The sequence below is a fragment of the Homo sapiens genome, chromosome 1, assembly GCF_000001405.40.
Source record: "Homo sapiens chromosome 1, GRCh38.p14 Primary Assembly".
Taxonomy (NCBI): domain Eukaryota; kingdom Metazoa; phylum Chordata; class Mammalia; order Primates; family Hominidae; genus Homo; species Homo sapiens.
In genome coordinates, this window is record NC_000001.11 from 243525965 (window position 1) to 243549933 (window position 23969).

The 23969-nt window shown below is 35.8% G+C and overlaps 1 protein-coding gene across 11 annotated transcripts in view; it reads right to left on the bottom strand.

Moving 5' to 3' along the window:
• AKT3 (AKT serine/threonine kinase 3) overlaps positions 1-23969 on the bottom strand; it is a 362847-nt gene that overhangs the window by 37732 nt on the left and 301146 nt on the right. For 10 of the 11 annotated variants that reach the window (NM_181690.2, NM_001370074.1, XM_047420641.1 and 7 more), the window contains one exon: positions 19546-19633. In NM_181690.2, coding sequence (NP_859029.1) covers positions 19546-19633 — 88 coding nt within the window. Of the gene's footprint in view, positions 1-18808; positions 18811-19545; positions 19634-23969 lie in introns of all 11 variants that reach the window. The other variant, XM_047415643.1, reaches the window with a different exon arrangement.

Sequence of the window (23969 nt, forward strand, 5' to 3'; positions counted from 1 at the left end):
GAAAACCTCACCTAAACACATTATAGTCAAAAGGCTTAAAACCAGAGTCTGTCACGGTTCCATGAGAGAAGCAGAACTACTCTGTGTGTGTGTAAAGAGATTACAGGTAACTGAATTTCCCTGATTGTGGGAGCTAGTTATGTTGTCTCTGTAAGGCTGTTGTCTCCAAGTTCACTGCTGAGGCTTCATGTCCATAGGACAGTAAGTTGAGAAGCGAAGATGCAAGCAAAGCCAGGAGAGGAAAGATGAAATGGAATCTAGAAGCACAAGCTGGAGCCCAGGAGGATAGACTGAAACCCGTGTTAATTCGTACCGCCTGACCTTGCTGGTGTGGATATCCTGCAAAAGCTGGGACTTTCATCATGGAGCTAAACACACACTCCAGCCCAGAAGTAGGCTCAAGGGCTAACAGGATGCAGGAGGAGGTGGAGCTGATGCAGGCCTGACCACTGCCACGTACCAATAAGATGGTCTAGCAGACAACATGAATGAGCTACAAAATGGCTGTTCCGTCACGTCTATCCTCCAAATCTCCCACGAGAATCTTAAATAGCAAAAGGAATCCTGGGAAAGGTGGCTCAGTCTAGTCAACTGACATATTACAAAGCCATCACACAAACAAAAATATCTTGAAAACAGCCAGTGAAATATACCACATGACTTGCAAGGAAGAAATATTTAAATATGTACTCACTAAACTATCAACCCACAATTTTATATTCAGTAAAAATATCCTTTAAGAATGAAGGCAAAATAAAGACATCATCCCATAAAAGAAAACAAATTTTTTGCCAGCTGCACTACAAAAAATGGTTAAAAAAAAAAAAAAAAAAAAAAAAAAAAAAAAAAAATTTAGACTGAACAGGAATTATTCCAGACGAAAACATGGATCTTTAAGAAAAAAAAATGAAGAAATGAAAGTGTTCTCAAATTAGACAGCGGTGATGGTTGCATAAGTCTGTCAAGACCCTAAAAACCATGGAAGTGTATACTTTAAAGGGTGAATTATCTCAATAAAAAATTAACAAAAGAATAACACTGGAAACAGCAAATACGTAAGAAAATAATAAATACTAAGAGTCCTAACTTAGAATCTGGGACAGATATGAAGATTAATCTTCAAACAGAAACACAGATGTTTAATGAATAAACCGAAACACTTAAAATTAATATAGTAAGGTCTGGAAGATTCACTTAGGCCCTTTCAGAGGAGACATTATTTCATTGAGGCCTCTCTGTGCCTTGCACATGATAGATAAAAATATTACTTATGTAATCAGTTGCCATCCTATTGAAATGAGTATCAACCAAGTGACCAAAATAAACTATAAAGTACCTAAATTACTCTCTAGAGGCAAGATTTTTTCTTCTTTTCTGAAGGAAATCTCTGAAAGATAAGTAGGAATGCAATAAGTATTAAGATCCATTTCAAAATAATCCAAACATTCTAAATCAATCTTCCTAGAATACCTCTTAAATCTTTTCTAAGTTGTGCTTTATATAATACTTATATAATTATGTTTTATAATCATTATAATTTTTTCTTTCGAGGAACAAGGCTTTAGCAGTCAGCATAAAATTGGGCTTTGGGATTTTCAACCTCAGCTGGGCCCTCCAGCAATCGGTACCTCTTTATAGGTCCCTACTTGGGTTTCTCTCTAGCTCCCTCTGAGCCTATCCCTACATGTGACAGTCACTGTCTTAAAACTTCTAATATCAACCATAAAACATTCTTCTCACTCTTAATAAGAAGGCAGAACTTCTGCCATAAAGATGGTGGGACTTATACCTGTAGGCCCAGCTATTCGGGAGGATCCCTTAAGGCCAGGAATTCGAGGCTGCAGCGAGCTGTGATCGTGCCACTGCACTCCAACCTGGGCATTACAGCAAGACTCCATCTCTTAAAACACACACACACACACACACACACACACACACACACACACACACACACACACACACACACACACACAGAGAGAGAGAGAGAGAGAGAGAATTTGAGGCCTTCAGTCAGAAACTACCATAACTTTCTGCCTAAATACCATAACTTTCTGCCTAAATGCTTATAAACACATCTGCTCTGGTGGGCGTCTTACTTCTTTCCAATTGATGTCACTACAAGGGTATCCCACCTCCTTTCTATAGGTTAGCTATGCTTCAGAGATCTTACATTTTTTTCTGTATTTACTCACTTTACATCTTACTATCTGTATGTTTTTATCTTAAATATTACTTGTTTCTATGTAGCTCCAATTTCACACTCCCTTTTGGATCATTCCTGAGTGTATGAAATAAATATCACCCATTCTACATGCTCCCTTTAGCTACTGCTCCTTTCTTAACTCTTCAATTTTCTCTATTTTTTAAATTTTAGGTTGAGTGGCACACACGTAGGTTTGTTATATAGGAAAACTGCATATCATGGGGGGGTTTGGTGTACATGTCATTCCATCACCCAGATAATAAGCACAGTACCTGGTAGGTCGTTTTTTGATCTTCACCTTCCTCCTGCCCTCCACCCTCAAGTAGGCCTTGGTGTCTGCTCTTCCTCTCTTTGTGTTGATACGTACTCAATGTTTAGCTCCCACTTGTAAGTGAGAATATGCGGGATTTTGTTTTCTGTTCCTGTGTTAGTTTGCTTAGGCTTATGGCCTCCAGCTCCATCCATTTTGCTGCAAAGGACATGATCTTGTTCTTTTTGATGACTGCATAGTATTCCATGGTGTATCTGTACTACATTCTTTATCCAATCTGTAATTGATGGGCATTTAGGTTGATCCCATGTCTTTGCTATTATGAACAGTGTTGTAATGAACATATGTGTGCATGTGTCTTTATGGCAGAAGAATTTACATTCCAATAATGGGACTGCTGAGTCAAATGGTAATTCTGCTTTGAGTTGAGATATTGCCAAACTGCTTTCCACAGTGGATGAGCTAATTTGCATTTGCACCAGCAGTGTATAAGTGTTCCCATTTCTCACAATCTTGCTAGCATCTGTTATTTTTTGACTTTGTAATGAGGGCCATTCTGACTGGTGTGAGATGGTATCTCACAGTGGTTTTAATTTACATTTCTCTAATGATTAGTGATGTTAGGCATTTTTTCATATGCCTGTTGGCCACATGTATGTCTTCTTTTGGGAAGTGTCTGTCCATGTCCCTTGCCCACTTTGTAATGGAGCTTTTTTTTTTTTTTTTGTAAATTTGTTTAAATTCCTTATAGATTCTGAATATTAGACCTTTGTCAGATGCATAGTTTGCAAATATTTTCTCCCATTCTGCAGAGGTCTGTTTACTCTGCTGATAGTCTCTTTTGCTGTGCAGAAGCTCTTTAATTAGGTCAAGTTTTGTTTTTGTTGCAATGGCTTTTGGAGTCTTTGTCATGAAGTCTTTGCCAAGGTCTATGTCCAGAATGGTATTTCCTAGGTTATCTTATATGGCATTTTTTATAATTTTAGGTTTTACATTTAAGTCTTTAATCTATCTCGAGTTGATTTTTGTATATGGTGTAAGAAAGGGGTCCAGTTTCCACCTTCTCTGCATATGGCTAGCCAGTTATCGCAATATCATTTATTGAAGAGGGAGTCCTTTCCCTATTGCTTCTTACTGTTGACTTTGTCAGAGATCAGATGTCTGTAACTGTGTGACATTTCTGGGCTATTTATTCTGTCCCATTGGTCTATGTGTCTGTTTTTGTACCATTACCATGCTGTTTTGGTTACTATAGCCTGCAGTATAGTTCAAAGTTGCGTAATGTAATGTCTCTGGCTTTGTTCTTTTTGCTTAGTATTGCCTTGGCTATTCGGGTTCTTTTTCGGGTCCACATGGATTTAAAAATAGTTTGGTTTTTTTTTCTAATTTTGTGAAGACTGTCCTTGGTAGTTTGAATAAGAATAGCACTGAATCTGTAAACTGCTGTGGGCAGTATGGCCATTTCAACAATATTGATTCTTCCCAACCATGAGCATGGAATGTTTTTCCATTTGTTTGTGTCATCTCTGATTTCTCTGACCAGTGTTATGTAGTTCTCATTGTAAAGATCTTTCACTTCCCTGGTTAGCTGTATTCCTAGGTATTTTATTCTTTTTGTGGCTATTGTGAATAGGATTGCATTCTTGATTTTGCTCTCAGCTTAGATGTTGTTGTTGCATAGGAATCCTGATTTTTGTACATTGATTTTGTATCCTGAGATATTGCTTATGTTAATTTGTCAATTTTTGTTAGGTTGTTTATTGGATTGTAGAGCTTTTGGGCAGAGAAAATCGGGTTGTTTAGGTATATAGAACCATACTGTCTGCAAACATGGATGGTTTAACTTCAGCAAATTTTTAAAAACCTGAAATCATACCAACCACACTCTCAGACCACAGCACAATAAAAACAGAAATCAATACTAAGAAACTCTCTCAAAACCATATAATTACATGGACATTAAACAACGTGTTCCTGAATTACTTTTAGGTAAATAATGAAATTAAGGTAGAAACCAAGAAATTCTTTGAAACAAATGAGAACAAAGATACAACATACCAGAATCTCTGGGACACAGCTAAGGCAGTGTTAAGAAGGAAGTTTATAGCACTAAACGCCCACATAAAAAGTTAGAAAGATCTCAAATTAACAATGTAACATCACAACTAGAAGAGCTAGAGAAACAAGAGCAAAGCAACCCCAAAGCTAGCAGAAGGCAAGAAATAACCAAAATCAGAGCGGAATTGAAGGAAATTGAAATGCAGAAAAAGTACAAAAGATGAACAAATCCAGGAGTTGGTTTTTTGAAAGAATTAACAAAATAGACTGCTAGCTAGAATAACTGAAAAAGAGAGATGATCCAAATAAACACAATCAGAAATGACAAAGGGGTCATTACTACTCTTCAATTTTCTTGAGTAGCCTAAGCTTGGTGTTCTATTTCTTTTAACTTACACTTGAATTGAAAATAAAAAAAGAACTAGTTTAAGCATTAAGAGTAGAAAATAAGATAACCAAATCTAATGGATGTTAACATTGTACTATATGTATTTTCAAACATCTGTTTTTTTCAGATGTAAAATAGTTACTGCTAAATACCTACCTTCTTCCTACTCATTGATGTTCAACCATTCTATCTATCTATCTATCCATCCCTCTCTCTATCTTTTGAGATGAGGCCTCGTTCTGTCACCCAAGCTTGGAGAGCAGTAGTGTGATCACAGCTCATTGCAGCCTTGATCTCCTGGGCTCAAATGATCCTCCCACCTCAGCCTCCTGAGTAGCTGAGACTACAGTCGTGCACCACCATGCCCGGCTAATTTTTTGTTATTTTTGGTAAAGGTGGGGTTTTGCCATTGGTCTTGAACTCCTGGGCTCAAGGAATCCTCCTACCTTGGCCTCCCAAAATGCTGGGATCACAGGAATGAGTCACTGCACCTGGAAATGTTCAACCATTTTAACCTGTGAGAATGGCAATCACCTATGATTCAAGCAAATATTGTCCTGAAGTTACTTCATATCATTTGCATGCAAGTTTTTATAGTTTTCTCCCATATATATATTTTGTCATAAATACAATGCTTTTTATGGTGCATTTTCAGTTTTTGTAGTACGGTATTCTGTAAATATCCTCAGTATTTTGTTTTTCTGTGTTTGTTTTTTGAGATTTATCAATATTGATACTTATAAATTTGAGTTGTTTTTTATTCTTGAATAGTATTCTACCATAAGATTAAGAAAAAACTGCACTGAATCTGTATTATCATTTTGAGTACTCTCATCTTAAATTAAATATCCAATATATAAACATGAGATGTCTTTCCATTCATTTATGTCTTCTTTTATTTCTTTCAGCAATGTTTTGTAGTCGGTAGTGTATAAGTCTTGTGCTTCCTTGGTTAAATTTATTCCTAAGACATTTTTTGATGCTATTTTAAATGAAATTGATCTTCTTAAGATCAATTTTACATTGTTGATAGCTAGTATATGGAAATACAATGTATTTTCTAGCTTGCTTTTGCATCCTGCAACTTTACTGAATGTATTAGTTCTAAGCACAAGTGTGGCACGTGTGTGTGTATGTTTTAGGGTTTTCTACATATAAGATCATGTCACCTATTAGTAGGGGTAGTTTTATTTCTTCCTTGCAAATTTGATTGCTTTTTATTTCTCTTATTTAACTCCTCTGGCTACAGCTTCCAGTGTCACGTTAACAGAAATGTTGAAAGTGGTATCTTTGTTTTCTTCCTTATCTCAGGGGAAAAACTTTCAGTCTTTCACCATTGAATATAATGTGAGCTGAGGGTTTTCCAAACTATAGAAATGATCCCTTAAAGGACAGTCTTTCCAAGAATTTTTCATATATGACCTTTATAATGTTGTGGCAGTTTCCTTCTATTCCTAGCTTTTTTTTCTTTTTACTGTTTTTATCATAAAGGAGTGAATTTTGTCAAATGCTGCCCATCAGTTGAAATGATCATGCAAGTTTTCTCCTTCATTCTATTAATGTGGGACATTACACTGATTAATTTCTATACGTTGAACATCCTTGCATTCCTGGAATAAATCTACTTGGTTAAGGTGTACAATCCTTTAATTATACTGCTGAATGGTTTGCTAGTATTGTTAAGAAATTTTGCATCTGTATTCATTAGGGACATTGGTCTGTAGTTTTCTTTTCTTATAATGCCTCTAGTTTTGACATCAGGATAATGCTCCCTTCATAGAGCAAGTGAGAGAGTGTTCACTCCTCTTCAAATTTTTGGAAGAGTTTGAGAAGGACTGGCATTAATTTTTCTTTAAGTGTTGGGTAGACTTCCCCAGTAAAGCCAACTGGCCCTGGGCTTTTCTTTGGTGGGAGGTTTGCGATTAGTGATTTTATTTCTTTAAGAGTTACGGGGTCTATTTGGATTTTCAATTTATTCTTAAGTCATTTTGGTGATTTGTGTATTTCCAGGAATGTGTCCATTTCATCTAGGTTACTCAACTTGGTGGCATACACTTCTTCAGAGTATCATCTTATAACCCTTTCTATTTCTCTCAAGTCAGGAGTAATATCTTTTTTCATTTCTGATTCAGTATTTCATTTTTCTCTTTTTCCTCCTTAGTCAATCCATTTAAAGTTTTGTCAGTTTTGCTGATTTTTCAAATAACCAACTTTCGGTTTCGGTCATTATTCTCTATTGCTTTTCAATTATCGATTTCATTTATTTCCGTTGTAATCTTTACACCAATAAATTGGTTAACCAAAATAATGAAGAGGTAAAACTACCAAAAAGATATAACAATACTACAATTTGGGTGCATCTACACATGGAACTAAAAAAATGTCAAAACTGATAGAACTATAAACAGAAATAGTCAACGCCATAATTATAGTTGAAGGTTTCACTTCTCTCTTAGTAACTGATAAAAGCAAGCCATTAAGCTATCAGTAAAGATGCAGAAGACTTAACACTATTAGCCAATTCTATCACTGACATTTATAGAATATTCTACACAAGAGCAAAGTACCTATGGCAATTGTACTATCTGTGAAATGAATGGTGCTATTTAAAAGAGGACTTGAATTAGTTATAAGTGTATACTTCAAACTCAAGGGCTGGCAGTTAAAAAAAGTTAAAAAAGCATAATTTATTCAATTAATATGTTATGAGAGGGAAAAATGTTGCCTTATACAATGCTCAATTAAACCAGAGAAGGCAGAATAAAAATGGGATACACACACACACAAAGAAACAGCAAGGGCAATGGATAAAAAACTGTAAGAAGGCCGGGCGCGGTGGCTCACGCCTGTAATCCCAGCACTTTGGGAGGCTGAGGTGGGCGGATCACGAGGTCAGGAGATCGAGACCATCCTGGCTAATATGGTGAAACCCCATCTCTACTAAAAATACAAAAAATTAGCCGGGCGTGGTGGTGGGCGCCTGTAGTCCCAGCTACTCGGGAGGCTGAGGCAGGAGAATAGTGTGAAGCCGGGAGGCGGAGCTTGCAGTGAGCCCAGATTGTGCCACTGCACTCCAGCCTGGGCAACAGAGCGAGACTCCGTTTCCAAAAACAAAAAGAAAAACAAAAAAACCTGTAAGAAATCCAACTGTATCAATTATCATTTTTAATGTCAGTGGTCTAAAGACATCAGCTAAAAGACAGAGACAGTCAGAGTAGATAAAAAAAACAAGATCTAACTATATGGTCTACAAGAAACCCACTTTAAATATAAAGACACTGATAGATTAAAAGTAAAGGGATGGAAAAAAGATAGGCATGCTCATAGTAATTTAAAGAAAGTGGGAGGAGCTATATTAATTTAAGACAAAGTAGGGCAAGGAAAACTATCAGAGATAAAGAGGGGCATTACATAATGATACCTGGGCCAATTCTCCAAGAAAACATAACAGTCCTTAATGTGTATGTGTCTAGCAACAGAATCAAAATACGTGAGGCAAAAACTGATAGAACTGGAAGGAGAAACAGATGACTCTACTATTATAGTTGGACACATCAACATGTCCCCCCAGTCAGTTAAGGACATAACTGAACTAAACAGCACCATCAATCAACTGGATTTAATATCAACATTATGGAATATTTTATCCAAGAAAAGCAGAATATGTAACTCTTCTCTTCTCACACAGAACATTCATCATGACAGACCATGTTCTGGGCCATAAAATGCACCTTTAACAAATTTTTAAAAATCATATAAAAGTATGCTCTCAGACCACAATGAAATTAAACTGGAAATCAGTAACAGAAAGATAGCTGGAAAGCTCCAAAATACCTGTAGACTAAACAACACATTTCTAAACAACACACATATTAAATAATTCAATAAAACTTAAAACTATTTGTAACTAAATGAAAATAAAACATCAAAATTTGTGAGATACAGTTAAAATAATGCTTAGAGGAAAATTTATAGCATTGAGTGCACAAATTAGAAAAGATCGAAAACAAATAATCTAAGCTTTCAGGTTACAAAACTAGAAAAAGAGAAAATTAAATCCAAAGTAAGGAGAAGAAAAGATATAATTAAAATTAGAGCGGAAATCAATGAAACAGAGAACAGAAAATCAATGGAGAAAAACTAACAAAAGCAAAAGCCAGATCTTTGTAAATATCAATGAACTGATAAACCTCTAGACATGTTAAGTAAGTGTATTTCTATCAGCTCCCTTGCATAAATTTTAAAATATAAAATTAAAAATTTTAAAATATATTTTAAAATATATTTAAAATTTTAAAATAATTTTAAAATATATTTTAAAATTATTTTAAAATATATTTTAAAAATTTCAATAGCTTTAGGGGTACAGTGGTTTTTGGTTACATGGATGAATTGTATAATGGTAAACTCTGGGCTTTAGTGTACCCATCACCCAAATAGTGTACGTTGTACCCAACAGGTGACTTTTCATCCCTCACCTCCCTCTTCCATCCTCCCCTCACTCTGAGTCTCCAGTGTCCACTCTACTACTCTGTAGACCTCTGCATACCCATAGCTTAGCTCCAACTTCTAAGTGAGAACATGCAGTATTTGATTTTCTGTTCCTGAGTTACCCCACTTAGGATAATGGCCTTCAGTTCCATCTATATGCTGCAGAATACATTATTTTGTTCTTTTTTATGGCTAGTGATATTCCAAGGTGTGTCTGTGTGCACATCCCATTTACTTTATCCACTCATTGGCTGATGAGGACTTAGGTTGATTCCCTATCTTTGCAATTGTGAATTGTGCTGCAATAAACATATGAGTATATGTATCCTTTTGTATAGAATGACTTCCTTTGTGTAGATACCTACTAGTGGAATTCCTGGATCGAATGGTACATCTACTAGTAGTTCTTTGAGAAATCTCCATACTGTTTTCCACAGAGGTTGTACTAATTTACATTCCCACCAACAGCATGTAAGCATTCCCTTTTTACCGCATCTACATTAACATCTATTGTTTTTTGACTTTTTTAAAATGACCATTCTGATTGGGGTAAAATGGTATCTCACTGTGGTTTTATTTGGTAGTTTCCTGATGATTTGTGATGTTGAACATTTTTTCCCATGTTTGTTGGCCATTTGCACATATTTTCTTTCGAGAAATGTGTATTCATGTTGCTTGCCCACTTTTTAATGGAATTATTTGAATTTTTTCTTGCTGATTTGAGTTCTTTATAAGATTCTGGGTATTAGCCCTTTTTCAGAAGTAAAGTTTGCAAATATTTCCTCCCAAACTGTAAGTTGTCTATTTACTTTGTTGATGATTTCTTTTGCTGTGCAGAAGCTTGTGAGTTTAATTAAGCCCCATTTATTTATTTTTGTTTTTACTGTATTTGCTTTTGGGGACTTAAGTCACACATTCTTTGCCTAGGTCAATCTCCGGAAGAATTTTTCATAGGTTTTCTTCTAGAATTTTTTATGGTTTCAGGTCTTACATTTATGTCTCCAATCCATCTTGAGTTAATTCTTGCATTTTTAATAGTGTTTGTTTTGTGCATATAGATGCTGTTATTTGGTGCAAATAAATATGTTTCTCATTTATGCTACACATGATCTACTTATCACGTTTAATATCTGAAATCTACTTAGCCTCAAATTATTATTGTTGCCTCTGTTTACTTTTTGTGTCATTTGATGATTAAGCTTTTCCTCATTCTTATTTTTTCCAGTTTGCTGTGTAATTTTATTCTAGGTGAGATTTTTTGTAAGGAACATCTAGTTATATTTCCTAACCCAATTTGAAGGCTTTTAAAGCTTTAACTGTATACATTTTATGCCAGAAATAACACTGGTTTTGACAGCTGTTTGTGTTTTTATATCCTAAGTACAATGCCTCATGACCAAAAGAAGACACTAATTGTAAGGCTTAGCCATCAGAATGTCTAGCAGGTATTTGGAACACATCTTTCTTTGACCCCAAGTTTAAAAGTGGGCCATTATTTGAGTGTGATAAGGGAAGTATCAAATAGAAACCTATTTTCAGCCTTTCATCTCTCTTCCGCTGGTGCATCTGTTCTACTCCTCTGGCCTTGCTTCACTTGTAAAGCAGTAGCTTACAATCATTAACCTCTGCGTAACTGCCATCAATCACCGAACTCTTCAGGCTGAATATCTCAACCAGAAAGTAGAAAGTCACAACTCAGGAAAGTTCCACTTCAACTCTGGCACGATGCTTCACAAATGATCTTGATACACCTTGCAAAAATGTGTCCTCAAACCAACTTCCATTATTGACCATGAATATTTTCCAGCACTCAATCCCAACCTTCCACATTCTCACTGCTTCCCTCCCTCCTGACTTCCCTTTCAAATTTTCTCTTCCCTCTCTCCTATCCATTTCCTTAGCCCTCTCCTCCTTAATCATTTCCACAGCTCTAATTAAACTCTGAATTTCCAGACATATTTATTTCCATTTTAACTCCCAGAAGTGCTATATTTCTAGCCATTAGACAATTCTATCTGAAATTAATTACCAAAAACCAGCTATAATCCTCTTCCTTAAACTTTCTCCCAGTATTTTCCCCAGTATTATCAGACTAAAATAGGAGTCCTCAATTTCTTGATAATTTCTATGGAATTCACACTTCCTTTCCCTTTGTTGCCTATGTTCTGCTTTAGTAAGAGCTCTGTCACTTAACACTGTATTACTGCAGTAGTCTCTTAATGAGATTCCCTTTTCCAGGCTCTTCTCCATAAGAGTCTATTCCAACAAAACTTGAAAAAATCCAGTTGCTGCGTGTCATTTCCTTACTTCAGCATCTACAGTTCTGTTAAGTGGATCAAGCAAACATACGAGGTCGACTTTCAAGAAGCCGCAGTGTATTCACAGGCCACCTGTCCGCTGTTTACATCCAGATTCTATCCACCACAGATTCCCAGTTCCTCCAGTCAGCATATCTTCATTCACTTCTCTTGTTACTACTTTTTTTTCTCACATTGTTTTCCCATTCTGAAATGTCCCATTTCCTTCATTTCCCAATCCTGTATTCCTTCAAACACATTTTTCCATGAATTTTTCCAAACCCAGGGAGGTGGAAGTGGAGTTAAAGGAGCCTTATAATCAAGAAAACAATGACGGCAGGTAGAAGCATAGTCTATGTAAAGGAATGGAGAGTGCTAATAATGGTTAATGTGTAGCATTTTCAACCACTTTAAAATATAATTATCTAAAGCAAAATCTAATTACCATTACCATGTATTGTGGTGTTTATTAACATATGTGAAAGTAAACTGTAAGAAAATAATAGCCTAAAGAATAGATGGAGGAAACAGAAATATGCTGTTGTATGAGAATTGGTTATGACTCAAGGTAGACTAAGTTAAACATGTGTACTGCAAACTCTAGAAACAACCTCCAAACAATAAAACAGACATACAAGAAGACAATAGCAGTGATAAAATGGAACCATAAAATATTCAACAAATCCAAAAGAAGGCAGACAAAGAGAAAAAAAGGAACAAAGAAAAAAAAAACAAACAGCAAGATTGTATATTTAAACCCAAGTATGTCATTAAGTACATTAAATGAAAACGGGCTACCCATTACATTAAGTCGTATTTTCTAATGAATAACAGAAAAACAAGAATTGACTATATGCTGTCTAAAAGAATATCCACTTAAATATAATTGGCATAGGTTAAAGGTATAATGATGGGAAAAGATATATTACACAAAAGCAAAAGAAAGGTGGAGTACTTATATTAATATCAGATGAAGTAGATGTCAAAACAAATATTGCTGCCATCTATACAGAAGAACATTTCCTAATGATAAGGAGGTAAAGATGAGCGCAGTGATGTATGCTTGCAATCCCAGCTACTCAAAAGCCTGAGGCAAGAGGATTGCTTGAGCCCAGGAGTTCAAATCCAGCCTGCACAAAATAGCAAGACCCCATCTCTTAAAAAAAAAAAGAAAAAGAAAAAAAGATGAGGTAAATTCACCAAGAAAACAATCCTTAATCTAAATATGTATGCAACTAACAATGAGGCTTCAAAACACATGAGGCAAAACCTAAAAGATAAAGTCCACGATCATAGTTGACGACATCAACTATCTTTTTCAGAAACCAATAGAACAAGTAGGCAGAAAATCAGTAAGAATATAGAAGACATAAACAATACTACCAGCTGTCTTGACCTAATGAACACTGGTAGAACAATTTATGCAATAAAAGCAGAATACAGTTGACCCTTGAACAACATGAGATTGAATTGCATGGGCCCACGTACACCCGGATTTTCTTCTGCATCTGCCACCTCTTGAGACAGCCAAGTCCAATCCCTCCTCTTCCTCCTCCTCCTCAGCCTACTTAACATGAAGACAACGAGGAGGAAGACCTTTACGATAATCCACTTCCACTTCATGAATAGTAAATATATTTCCTCTTCCTTATGATTTTATTAATAATATTTCCCTTCCTGTAGCTTACTATATTATAAAAATACAGTATATAATACAAATAACATACAAAATATGTGTTAATCAACTGTTCATTAAGGCTTCGTCAACAGTGGGCTACTAGTAGTTAAGTTTCTAGGAAGTCAAAAGTTACTGGGTTTTTGAGCATGGTGCCCGTAACTCCCACATTGTTCAAGGGTCAATGTATAGATTCTTTCAAGTGTATATAGAACATACAGCAACATAAGCCATTTTCTGGGCCATAAAACAAATCTTTTAAAGTGTAAAACAATTAAAATCATATAAAATATGTTCTCCAACCAAAAGAGAATTAAGCTAGGAATCAGTAACAGAAAGATATCTGAAAAATCCATATATTTGGAAATTAATCAACACACTTACAAATAACCCTTAAGAAGGAATCACAAGGGGAATTAAAACTCTTTTGAAATGAAAACACAGCACATCAAAATGTGCAAAGCATGACTAACAGTCCTTAGAGAGAAACTTAACTTAGATGATAAATTCCTTGAAAGACACAAAGAGCAAAATTCATCTGAGTAACAACAGATAACCACAACAGCCCTGTAACTATTAAATAAATTGAATTCACAGTGAAAAACTTACCAACAAAGACAAAACTCCAGGTCTAGGGAGAGCTTCACTAGTAAATCCCACCAAATATTTCATTAATAAATAATACAAATCCCATACAAACAATTCAATAAAATTAAAGAGAAAGGAGGAGTACTTCCCCTTTTGTTTTTAAAAAGCAAACATGATCCTGAAGTGAAAATTATACAAAGACATTTTAGGAAAAGAAGATGACATAGTAATATCACTCAGGATTTCAGGATGCAAATATCCTTAGAAATACAATGTACCAACGCTAGCAATATATAATAACACATCATGAACAAGTGGTTTTTTTCAACAGGAATGCAAGGTTCACTCAACTTTGGAAAATCAATGTTAATTCACCATTTTAACAGAACATAAAAGAGAAAAGCCATATGATCATTGCAGTAAGTGCAGAAAAAGCTTTAATAAAATTCAATACCCATTCATGATTTTAAAAACTCTCAGTAACCTAGGACTAGAACTTCCTCAATCTGATAAAGGAGGCATAAAACATCTATATTATAACATCATGTTTTTATAACATATTCAAATAATTCTGGACTTAGAGAAGACTTACAAAAATATAGTACACATAGTTACCATATGCCCTTTACCCACCTTCCTCTGTATCTTGTATAGCCATAGTATGAATATCAAAACAAAGAAATTAACATCAGTGCAATACTATTAACTAAACTACCAACTTTATTTCAATTTCACCAGTTTTTCCACCAATGCCCCTGCCTAGTCCAGGACCCAACCCAGGATCCCACATCGCAGTTAAGTCATCATGCCACTTTAGTCTCTCCAATCTATGAGTGTTCCATCATCATTCTTTGCCTATCATGAGGCTAACACTTTTAAAGTTATCAGGCCAGGTATTTCGAGGAATGTCCCTCCCTGTGAGTTCTTCAGGTTTCCTCATGATTATACTGAGGTTATGCATCTTGGAGGAGAGCACTTCAAAAGTACTGTGCCCTTCTCAGAGCATCTTATCATGGGTTCCATGAAGTCAACATCTTACTTACTGGTGATGTTAACCGTGATCACTTGGTTAAAACTGTGTTTTCCAGATCTCTCCACTGTAAAGTTAGTCATTTTACCTTTGTAAATGATAAATGTTCACAGGGAGATATCTTGAGAGTATGGAAATATCCTCTTTCCTAAACTTTTGCTTACTAATTTTAATATTCATAGGTGAATTCTGAATGAGCAATTTTCACTCTGGAGTTCTAATGGTGATTTGATTTTCTACTCTACTCACCTCTTTTACATTAATTGGAATTCATCTGTAAGGAAGACATGTCCCTCTCAACACTTTATTTAGACAATCAATCACTTATTTATGCAATATAGACTCATGATTACATATTTCATCCTTTGGATCATAAACTAACACTATATTTACTTTATTACTGAAATTGTTTCAGCTTCTGCTACAGGACCCTTCAGCTTGGGCTGTTTTCTAGGTCTTGCCTTTTTTTTTTAAGGCTCCCTCCTTACTTTCTGACACCACAAAATTCTCCACGCTCATCTTTTTTTCTCCCCCTATACTAGTGCTGAAATCAGTCGCGTCCTCAAGGAGCCTTGGTTCCTTTTATTGGAGAATAATAGTTAGAAACCCAGATCTGGCTGCTAGATGTGCTCATTAACATCATATTTAATGGTAAAAGGTGCTTTTCTCCCTAAGACTAGAAACAAAGTCAGGATGCTCACTCTTACCACTATTCAACATTATAATGAAGGTCTTAGCCAATACAGCAAGGCAAAAGAAGAAAGGAAATGCATACAGATTAGAAATGAAGTAAAACTTTATTTACAGAAGATATGATTGTCTGTGCAGAGAATTGTAAGTAATCTACAAAAAAGGTTACTACAACTAATTCTTGCAAGCCTGCAGGAGAAAAGGTCAATATGAAAAAACCAACTGTATTTCTATATACTGGCAGTAAAACAAAGTGAAAATGAAATTTTAAATATCATTTCCCTTGGAAGACATGAAACACACGTAAGGATAAACCTAACAAAATTTGTGTAAGACTTAAACATTGAAAATTACAAAACATTACTGTGAGAAATTAAAGACCACCTAAATAAATGGAGAAATAAATTGCATTCATGGATCTGAAGACTCATTGTTAAGATGTCAGCTCTTCCTAAATTTATCTACAGATTCAACACAATCTCACACAAAATCTTAGCAGACTGACAGAGTGTAAAATTTACGTAGAAATCTATATAGACATTAATCTAGATAAATTCATGCTATAAAACACCCTGCTAGAGAATCTTAAAAGCTTGAAGGTAGTTAAAGGATCATATCTTTTGCATGAGTAAATGACCTGTCCATTTCCACAAAGAAAGCAAGAAGCAAATCCAGGACCAGGATCCAACTTTGTTCTTTCATGTTTTGATACTGTGCTCTTTAGAGTGGTACATCATGCTACTTGTAATTAAGATTACTTTCACTTTTTACTTTGCCTAGAAAGAGATTCAGATCTCCTCAACAGATGCCAGAATCTCTAGATGTGCCATCACCTCTCGATGTGCAGCAATAAGTAGAAAAATAACCAATAATTATGTGATAATAAATTAAGAATAAATTTATCAAAACAATAAAAATGTAACAATAATCCCTGATCTTAGGAATGAATTGACTTTTACAATAAATTACACATTTTAAAGATATAAGGACTCCATTAAAATGTTTTATTTTATAAATTATTTAGTAATTTACACTAAAACACTGAAATTTTAACTGAATTCATTAAAACAGCTACTAACCCCCAGGCTGGTTCTCAAAATTAATTTCATGTTCATCTGTGATATGATACAAACCCAAATAGACTCAATCACATTTTCCTTTTAGAAAGAAACTCAAATTTAAAAGTGCTGCTATAATAAAGTTGCTCCTTCAAGTATATATGGGGCGGCAGAGAACACCAGAGCCTCGCGGGTCACACAGGACACCGTGAGTAAGCCTGTAGATGGCACCAATCCACGACCAATCTATTGTTTACAGAAACAGTCATTTTGGGTTGTGCTTCTTTATGCAAGATATTTAACACCTTTGCTCAAATTAAGTGGCACCCATTAAAAAAAAATAATTATAACAACTTGAACGAATTTATCTACATGTCATCAGAAGGTGTTTAGGCAGCTCCTCCTCCCTGCCAGAGCTGCTGGCTCCCCTAATTCCATTCCCACATGGTAGCTCCTGGCTGTCTTACTATCACCTTTACACTGGGCATGTCTAACCCAGTGGAGCTGAGATAGGACAGGCCTTGCTTCCTTACTGGTATACTGGTTGGGCTCTCAGAGCTTTCTCCAGGTGGGGCCAAACTCTTATTCAACATGAATAGCTGAACACTGAGATAAGGAAACGTTGTAGCAAATCTTATTTCCTCACAGGACTAAGAAGGTCCATATTTTGGCCCTTCCTTGAATTTACAGGGCCACATTGGTACCTCAACCATTGTCTCTTAAAGAAATGGTTCTTTTCCTCTTCTTTTTTTTTGGAGTAAGTCCTCCTAGAAGAGGGTGTCTAGAAAGGATGATATTTAGTTGTAGCTTATTATTAGCTATTTATTAAAAATAAAACCATGCATGATTTCTGGGAGAGACAGCAAGCCCTTCTTCCTTCCAGGTTCTTTTGTAGTGTACTGACACGATGAAAACAGTACACAGCTCATTAGAGGCATTCCTATATATGCATGCAACTCATAAGGAACATCCTCAGTGATACTAAGTGGATATAAAATTGTCTGTAAGAAGTGAATAAACATTTAGGAATGCTCAAGTGCTTCTCATAAAGGTTGTGAAGGATTCAGTACTTAACATGGTACTTTATACATAGTAGAAACTCAAGATATGTGAGTTGAATCGAGTAGAGGTGTCTAATATGATGCACCTATTTTAAATTCCTAGTTACAAGAAACAGAAAATCACCATACTCCCAGTAACCAATAACATAATACAGACATGAAGTGCTTGTGTTACTTCCTCCTAACTCATCTAATTCATATGACATAATTCTATGTTTACCTTAAGGCTTAACAGAGAAGAACACTTGGCACATAACAGACCCCAAATAAATGTTGTTGACTAATAAATGTTTCAGAGAAAAATATGAAATGTTGGAATAAACTGAAATGGATGAACTAAAAATAATTACAGAAAAATTCGGAGTAGATTATTGAATGAAAAACATTTCATAGTAAACATTTTATACAAGCATCTGAAAATCAAAGTATCAAAATCCCTGTCTGTACTAACAATATCTGAGGTAGTGGGGGAAAAAAAAAAAAAAAAAAAGCAGGGGGAGGGGGGGACAGACATAATAATTTCCTGCTCCTGAACTTAAGCAAAAATTGCAGTACTAAGAACAAGAAGGGTGGGTGCAGTGGTTCACGTCTGTAATCCAGCACTTTGGGAGGCCAAGGAGAGAGGATTGTTTGAGCCCAGGAATTCAGTACCATACTGGGAAACATGGCAAAACCTACAAAAAGTACCAAAAACGTAGGCAGGTATGGTGGCTCATGCCTGCAGTCCGAGCTACTTGGTAGGCTGAGGTGAGAGGATACTTGAGCCTGGGGAGGTAGAGGCTGCTGAGCTGTGATCGTGCCGTGCCACTGCACTCCAGCCTGGCCAACAGAGACCTTGCCTCAAAAAATAAATAAATAAATGAATAAAAAGTAATAAGCAGATCACAATAAAACTAAACATATGTAATTAGTAGTGGTTTTTTGTTTTTTGTTTTTTTTTTTTTTAAGAGATTGGGTCTCACTCTGTCATCCAGGCTGGAGTACAGTGGTGTAATCACAGCTCACTGCAGCCTCAACCTCCTGTGCTCAAGCAATTCTCCTGCCTGCCTTAGCAGCCTTCTTAGGAGTGCGCCACCACGCCCAGTTGATTTTTTTTTTTTCTTGTAGAGATGGGGTCTCACTGTGTTGCCCATGCTGGTCTCAAAACTCCTGGCCTCAAGTGATCCTCCCACCTCAGCCTCCCAAAGTGCTGGGATTACAGGCATGAGCCACCATGCCTGGCCTAGTAGTATTAATTTTGTGGGCAATAAAGTTCTGTTTCAAATGACAGAGAAGTCCAAAGTAAGACACTGTGTTTACTACCTTCATTAAATATTAAAAACAAATTTCTTTAAATTTCTTTTAAAACAAGGATTTGTATAAATGAATCTGAAGTGTTCACTTTAAAATTAAAGACATAAGGGCAAATTAAAAAATTTTAACTAGTTTTCTTAAAGAAAAATTAACACTTGGTATCTTTATTAAAATTAAAGAAATAATGAGAGGCAAACAAATTATTATGGGAAAAAAATAGAAAAATTCTGTGATCATGTTGAGCAAAATCTCAAGAGGCATTTGGGGAGTCAAAATCATGAGTAAAATTTTGTGCACAGAAGTTCAATAATCACTTAAATGTCGGTAAAATGGAAAGTATCATTACATCATTAACTTTTATTCACTTAAAATATTTTTGCTATAAATTCATTTTAGCAGTGCAGCCAAAATATATACACACTATGCCATAAAGAAATCTTACCTTTTTATCATATACATCTTGCCAGTTTACTCCAGAGAAGAAACTGTGTCTCATAATTTCTTTTGCATCATCTGGTCCTCCACCAAGGCTATGAGAACAGAAATAAAATTAAGTAAGTATAAAACATTTACATAAGCTCAAAGCATAACAAAAAATATTTTGTGAAAGTGTAATTTTCTGTGTAATAAACAGTTCTTGGGATAAATAGCTCTAAAAGTAAAAAGCTTTTGCTATAAGATCTATTTTTCCTAATATGCTTGTAAGAACTAGCTTCAGAACAGTATGGTATTTGGAAAAGAGCAGAGGCTTTAGAGATAGATCTGGAAGAGGCAATCATGTCTGGCACTTATGAGATGTGTGACAACAGAAAAGAGGCTTAACCTCAGTTTTCTCATCTGCAGAGTGGGGAATGATAACGTTTGCTGGTGGGTCACTGCAAGGGTTAGAAACAACATAGGAATATGGTTTGGCTGTGTCTCCACCCAAATCTCATCTTGAACTGTAGCTCCCATAATCCCCATGTGTCATGGGAGGTACCAGGTGGGAGGTAACTGAATCATGGGGGCAGGTTTTTCCCATGCTGTTCTCATGATAGTCAATAAGTCTCATGAGATCTGATGGTTTTATAAAGGGCGATTCCCCTGCACATGCCCTTGCCTGCTGCCCTGTAAGATGTGCCTCTGCTCCTCCTTCACCTTCTGCCATGATTGTGAGGCCTCCCCAGCCATGTGGAACTGTAAGTCCAATAAACCCCTTTTTCTTTATAAATTATGCGGTCTCAGGTATTTCTTCATAGCAGAATGAAAATGGACTAATAATAGGTAAAGAAATTTCAGTGTTTTCTGGCTTATTCAGTTTAATATAGTATATATTACTAAGCATAAAAGAACTAAAAGTGAGAAATAGGAAGAACAGGAGGAAAAGAGGGGAAAAGAACAAGGAAAGGAAGATAAAATAAACCTATTTAAATCTGAATTTTATATAGTAGGCTTTATTTGGACTTGTTCATTATTAGAAATGATATGTGCTGGTAAGTGCTTAACAACCAGCTCTCTGTGAGCAATCATGCATTTATACAAATATAATTTTTTTTCTTTTTTTTTTCAAAGGCACAGTAGATACCAGATGCTCAGAGCAGAGCAGCCATGGAGCTGCTGGGACCAAACCTTGCCTGACCTAGCCACCACCACACCCCAGACATATAAATTTAAATTTTACTGATATAAAGAATGCAAAACACAAAATTTACAAAGATCATAAAACATACAATGTTGTGTATTGTAAATTAGTCACCTGATTCTCACAGAAAACTTGTTAATTTCTGCTGTACGCCAAAGCCACTAATGGATGAAACTTACGATTAGTTCCAACATGAATATTGGTTGACATTTTTGTTTATGTTAAAGTCAAAGCTGAAAGTGATACAATGGAGACTTCAGAACTTCACTTGTCAGTTATGTGAGTGATTTCTTTGCTAAATGTTTAGTAACTTTGGGATGGTGGAAGAAGATTCATTTTTTGGTGCTATTTACAATGTAATGAATCTGCATTATTAATATTTTCTCTTAAGTCTAAACAGTCAACAAAACAGTAAGTGCAGCCCCAACTCATAGTATTTGCCAATTCTGGCGGTATAAATTCTTCCACTGTGGCCAGTTTCGAGCTACCAATAAGATGTCACTGAACATGTAGGCAGGAAGAGATGCATAGTAGCAAACCATTATATATTATGTCCAAACAGATACAGCAGACATAACTAATCTCAAAAATACAGATAACAGTGAAACATAACAAATTAAGGAGTAATGACTTTTTAGTATTTATGACCTTTGATTTTCCTATTATTAGTAAATTTATATAATTTTTAGTAATGACTATAATATACAACCAGCTCATAAAATTGGTGAAAATTTAACAGTTGGTTCTTGAGAGCTGGTATATGCTAACTCCAAAACACCACTGGGTTGGAAGAAAACCAAATACGTCATAGAAAACAAATACAGATGCTCCTAAACTTAATGATGGGTTATGTCTAGATAAGCCCACATTTCAACTTAAGATGGTTTTATCTGGATGCAATTCCATCATTAGTTGAGGAGCATACTAAATACGCATCAGTTTCGCACCATCATAAAGTCAAAAAATTGTCAAGCCATCGTAGGTCAGAAATCATTTATAATTATATAATTCTAATGAATTCTGGTTATTAGATCTAAGAAACACATGACTGGGAAGGACCTAGTATCCTTTGACACACAATTAAAATGGAAAACAGTCAACTGATACCTGAATATCTTTAGTGATGATAAATAATTCCCACCAGCTGGGTCTCCAACTCCCAGATCCTTATAGAATTCTCTAAATGAACTATACCCCAGAGATGGCACTTTTAGGTTTGATCATAATAGTGCTGTTCGATGTTTGCATTTGGAATTTTCAGACTGGTAGTTCTGTGTTCAGTGAGAGCTCAGCATTTCAGACCCTGCCCTCTTTTTCATTCTATTTCAGTTGTGTAGGTTTCTTTCCCAGGAGACTGCAAACTCCTTTGAAGGCAAGATCAGTGCTGGATTATCCAAAAGGCATTCTAAGCTTGTGCTTGGGGAACCAGAGAAGCAAAAGCACCAAAACACGTTTCTGAAAAGCATTTAATATTTTCAAGCATGCGTCAACATAGTCTGCATGAGAAACATCAAAGCTCCATGGCATTTTCTTACACTTATGTTGTAGTTTATTTCAATACTGTTTTCATTTGAATTGTACTTGAGATGGGAGTTGGAGTGGAGAATCATAATCATTTTGTAAATAAAATGTTTTAATCCAGCTTTAGTTATCCATTTTTGTAACTCCTCAAGTTTTCTAGCAATACTTTGGTTTTGAACATAGCCAGCATTTATTCTATATTTATCAAATACATATAAAACTAAAATATCAGCTATGAATACTATGCAAAGTCTGAGAATACAATCAGACTTCCATTTTAGAAGCTAGGAGAAATTCTTTAACACACTTCTTCAATGTGTGAAACTGTCAAAAATTTCAGTGTCAATGACTCTCTAATATACAATTTAAGACTTCAAAAATAATAACAAAATATGCTTTGAAGTAAGATATTTATGTCTAGAATACTAAACTCCAGTATCAGAATGCCAGACTAAATCCTCAGCTACTACAAATTCCTTTACTATTAGGAACATCACAGAATTCACATTTTCCTAATGTTACTGAATACATGAGGTCATGCTTTTCCTATCAACTCCGCATAGGAAGATAAAGGAGGGGCTAACAGAATGAACAGAAAGGATGGAGACTAAGAAATAAAAGCAAAATGATAGTTGACCCTTGGATAGAACTAACAGCAATTCAATAAGAAATACCAGAAAAATTCCAGTAGTATTTAAAATAGCTGCGTAGAAAAAATGAAGAGGTGTATTATAATGCTATCATTACTTATGTTTCCAAAGGCTTTTCAAGGTCCTTGTTAGCTTTCTTTTCTTTCTCCCCCTGAAACTGAGGTTCCCTAAGATTCTGTCCTAGGCCCTCTTCTCCTTATCCACTACCCTTGCCACTACTGCCTTGGCTCTAGCTACCTCCTAGATATAGTTATGGTTCCCAATCCATGTAGTCAGTTACTGTGTTTCTTTTAAGCATTCATTCTATTATTTCCAGCTGCTCACTTGACATTTCCATCTTGGTTTTATATAGAAACTTCAGACTCAGTGTACCCAAAGTTATTATCAACATCTAGCCCCATCAAGCCTCCTTGGTTTGCATACCCTGTCTGTTAATCACCCTAGCTGGAAACCTCAGAGGGATTCCTAACTCCTCCTACTTCCTCATAGTTTCTAGTTAATCATAACCTCTATCACTTGTGTACTACTGCTTCAGGAAGGAATCCATCTATTATCTGAACAATTCCATAAATATTCTTTTTAAAAAAAAGACAGGGACTCACTCTATTGCCCAGGCTGGAGTGCAATGGTGTCACCTTGGGTCACTGCAGTCTCGACCTCCTGGGCTCCAGCGATTCTCCCACCTCAGCCTCCCAAGTAGCTGGGACTACAGCATGTGCCACCATACCCAGCATTTTATTTTTTTTTAGTAGAGATGAATCTTGCTATGTGCCCAGGTTGGTCTTGAACTCCCGACCTCAAGTGACCTTCTTGCCTCGGCCTCCCAAAGTGCGGGGATTACAGGTGTGAGCCACTGTGCCTGGCCCCATAAACACTTTTAACTGCTCTGCCTGCCCCTGGATCCTCACTCATCTAATCTGTCCATGACAAAGCTGCCAGAGTTACCTTTTCATGACACAAATCTGATTATACTATCCCTTGCTTTAAACACTTAAGCAGTATCTCACCCTCTTCTGAATGAAGATTAAATATTTTCTAAGAAACCTAAGATCCTTATAATCTAATATATCAGCT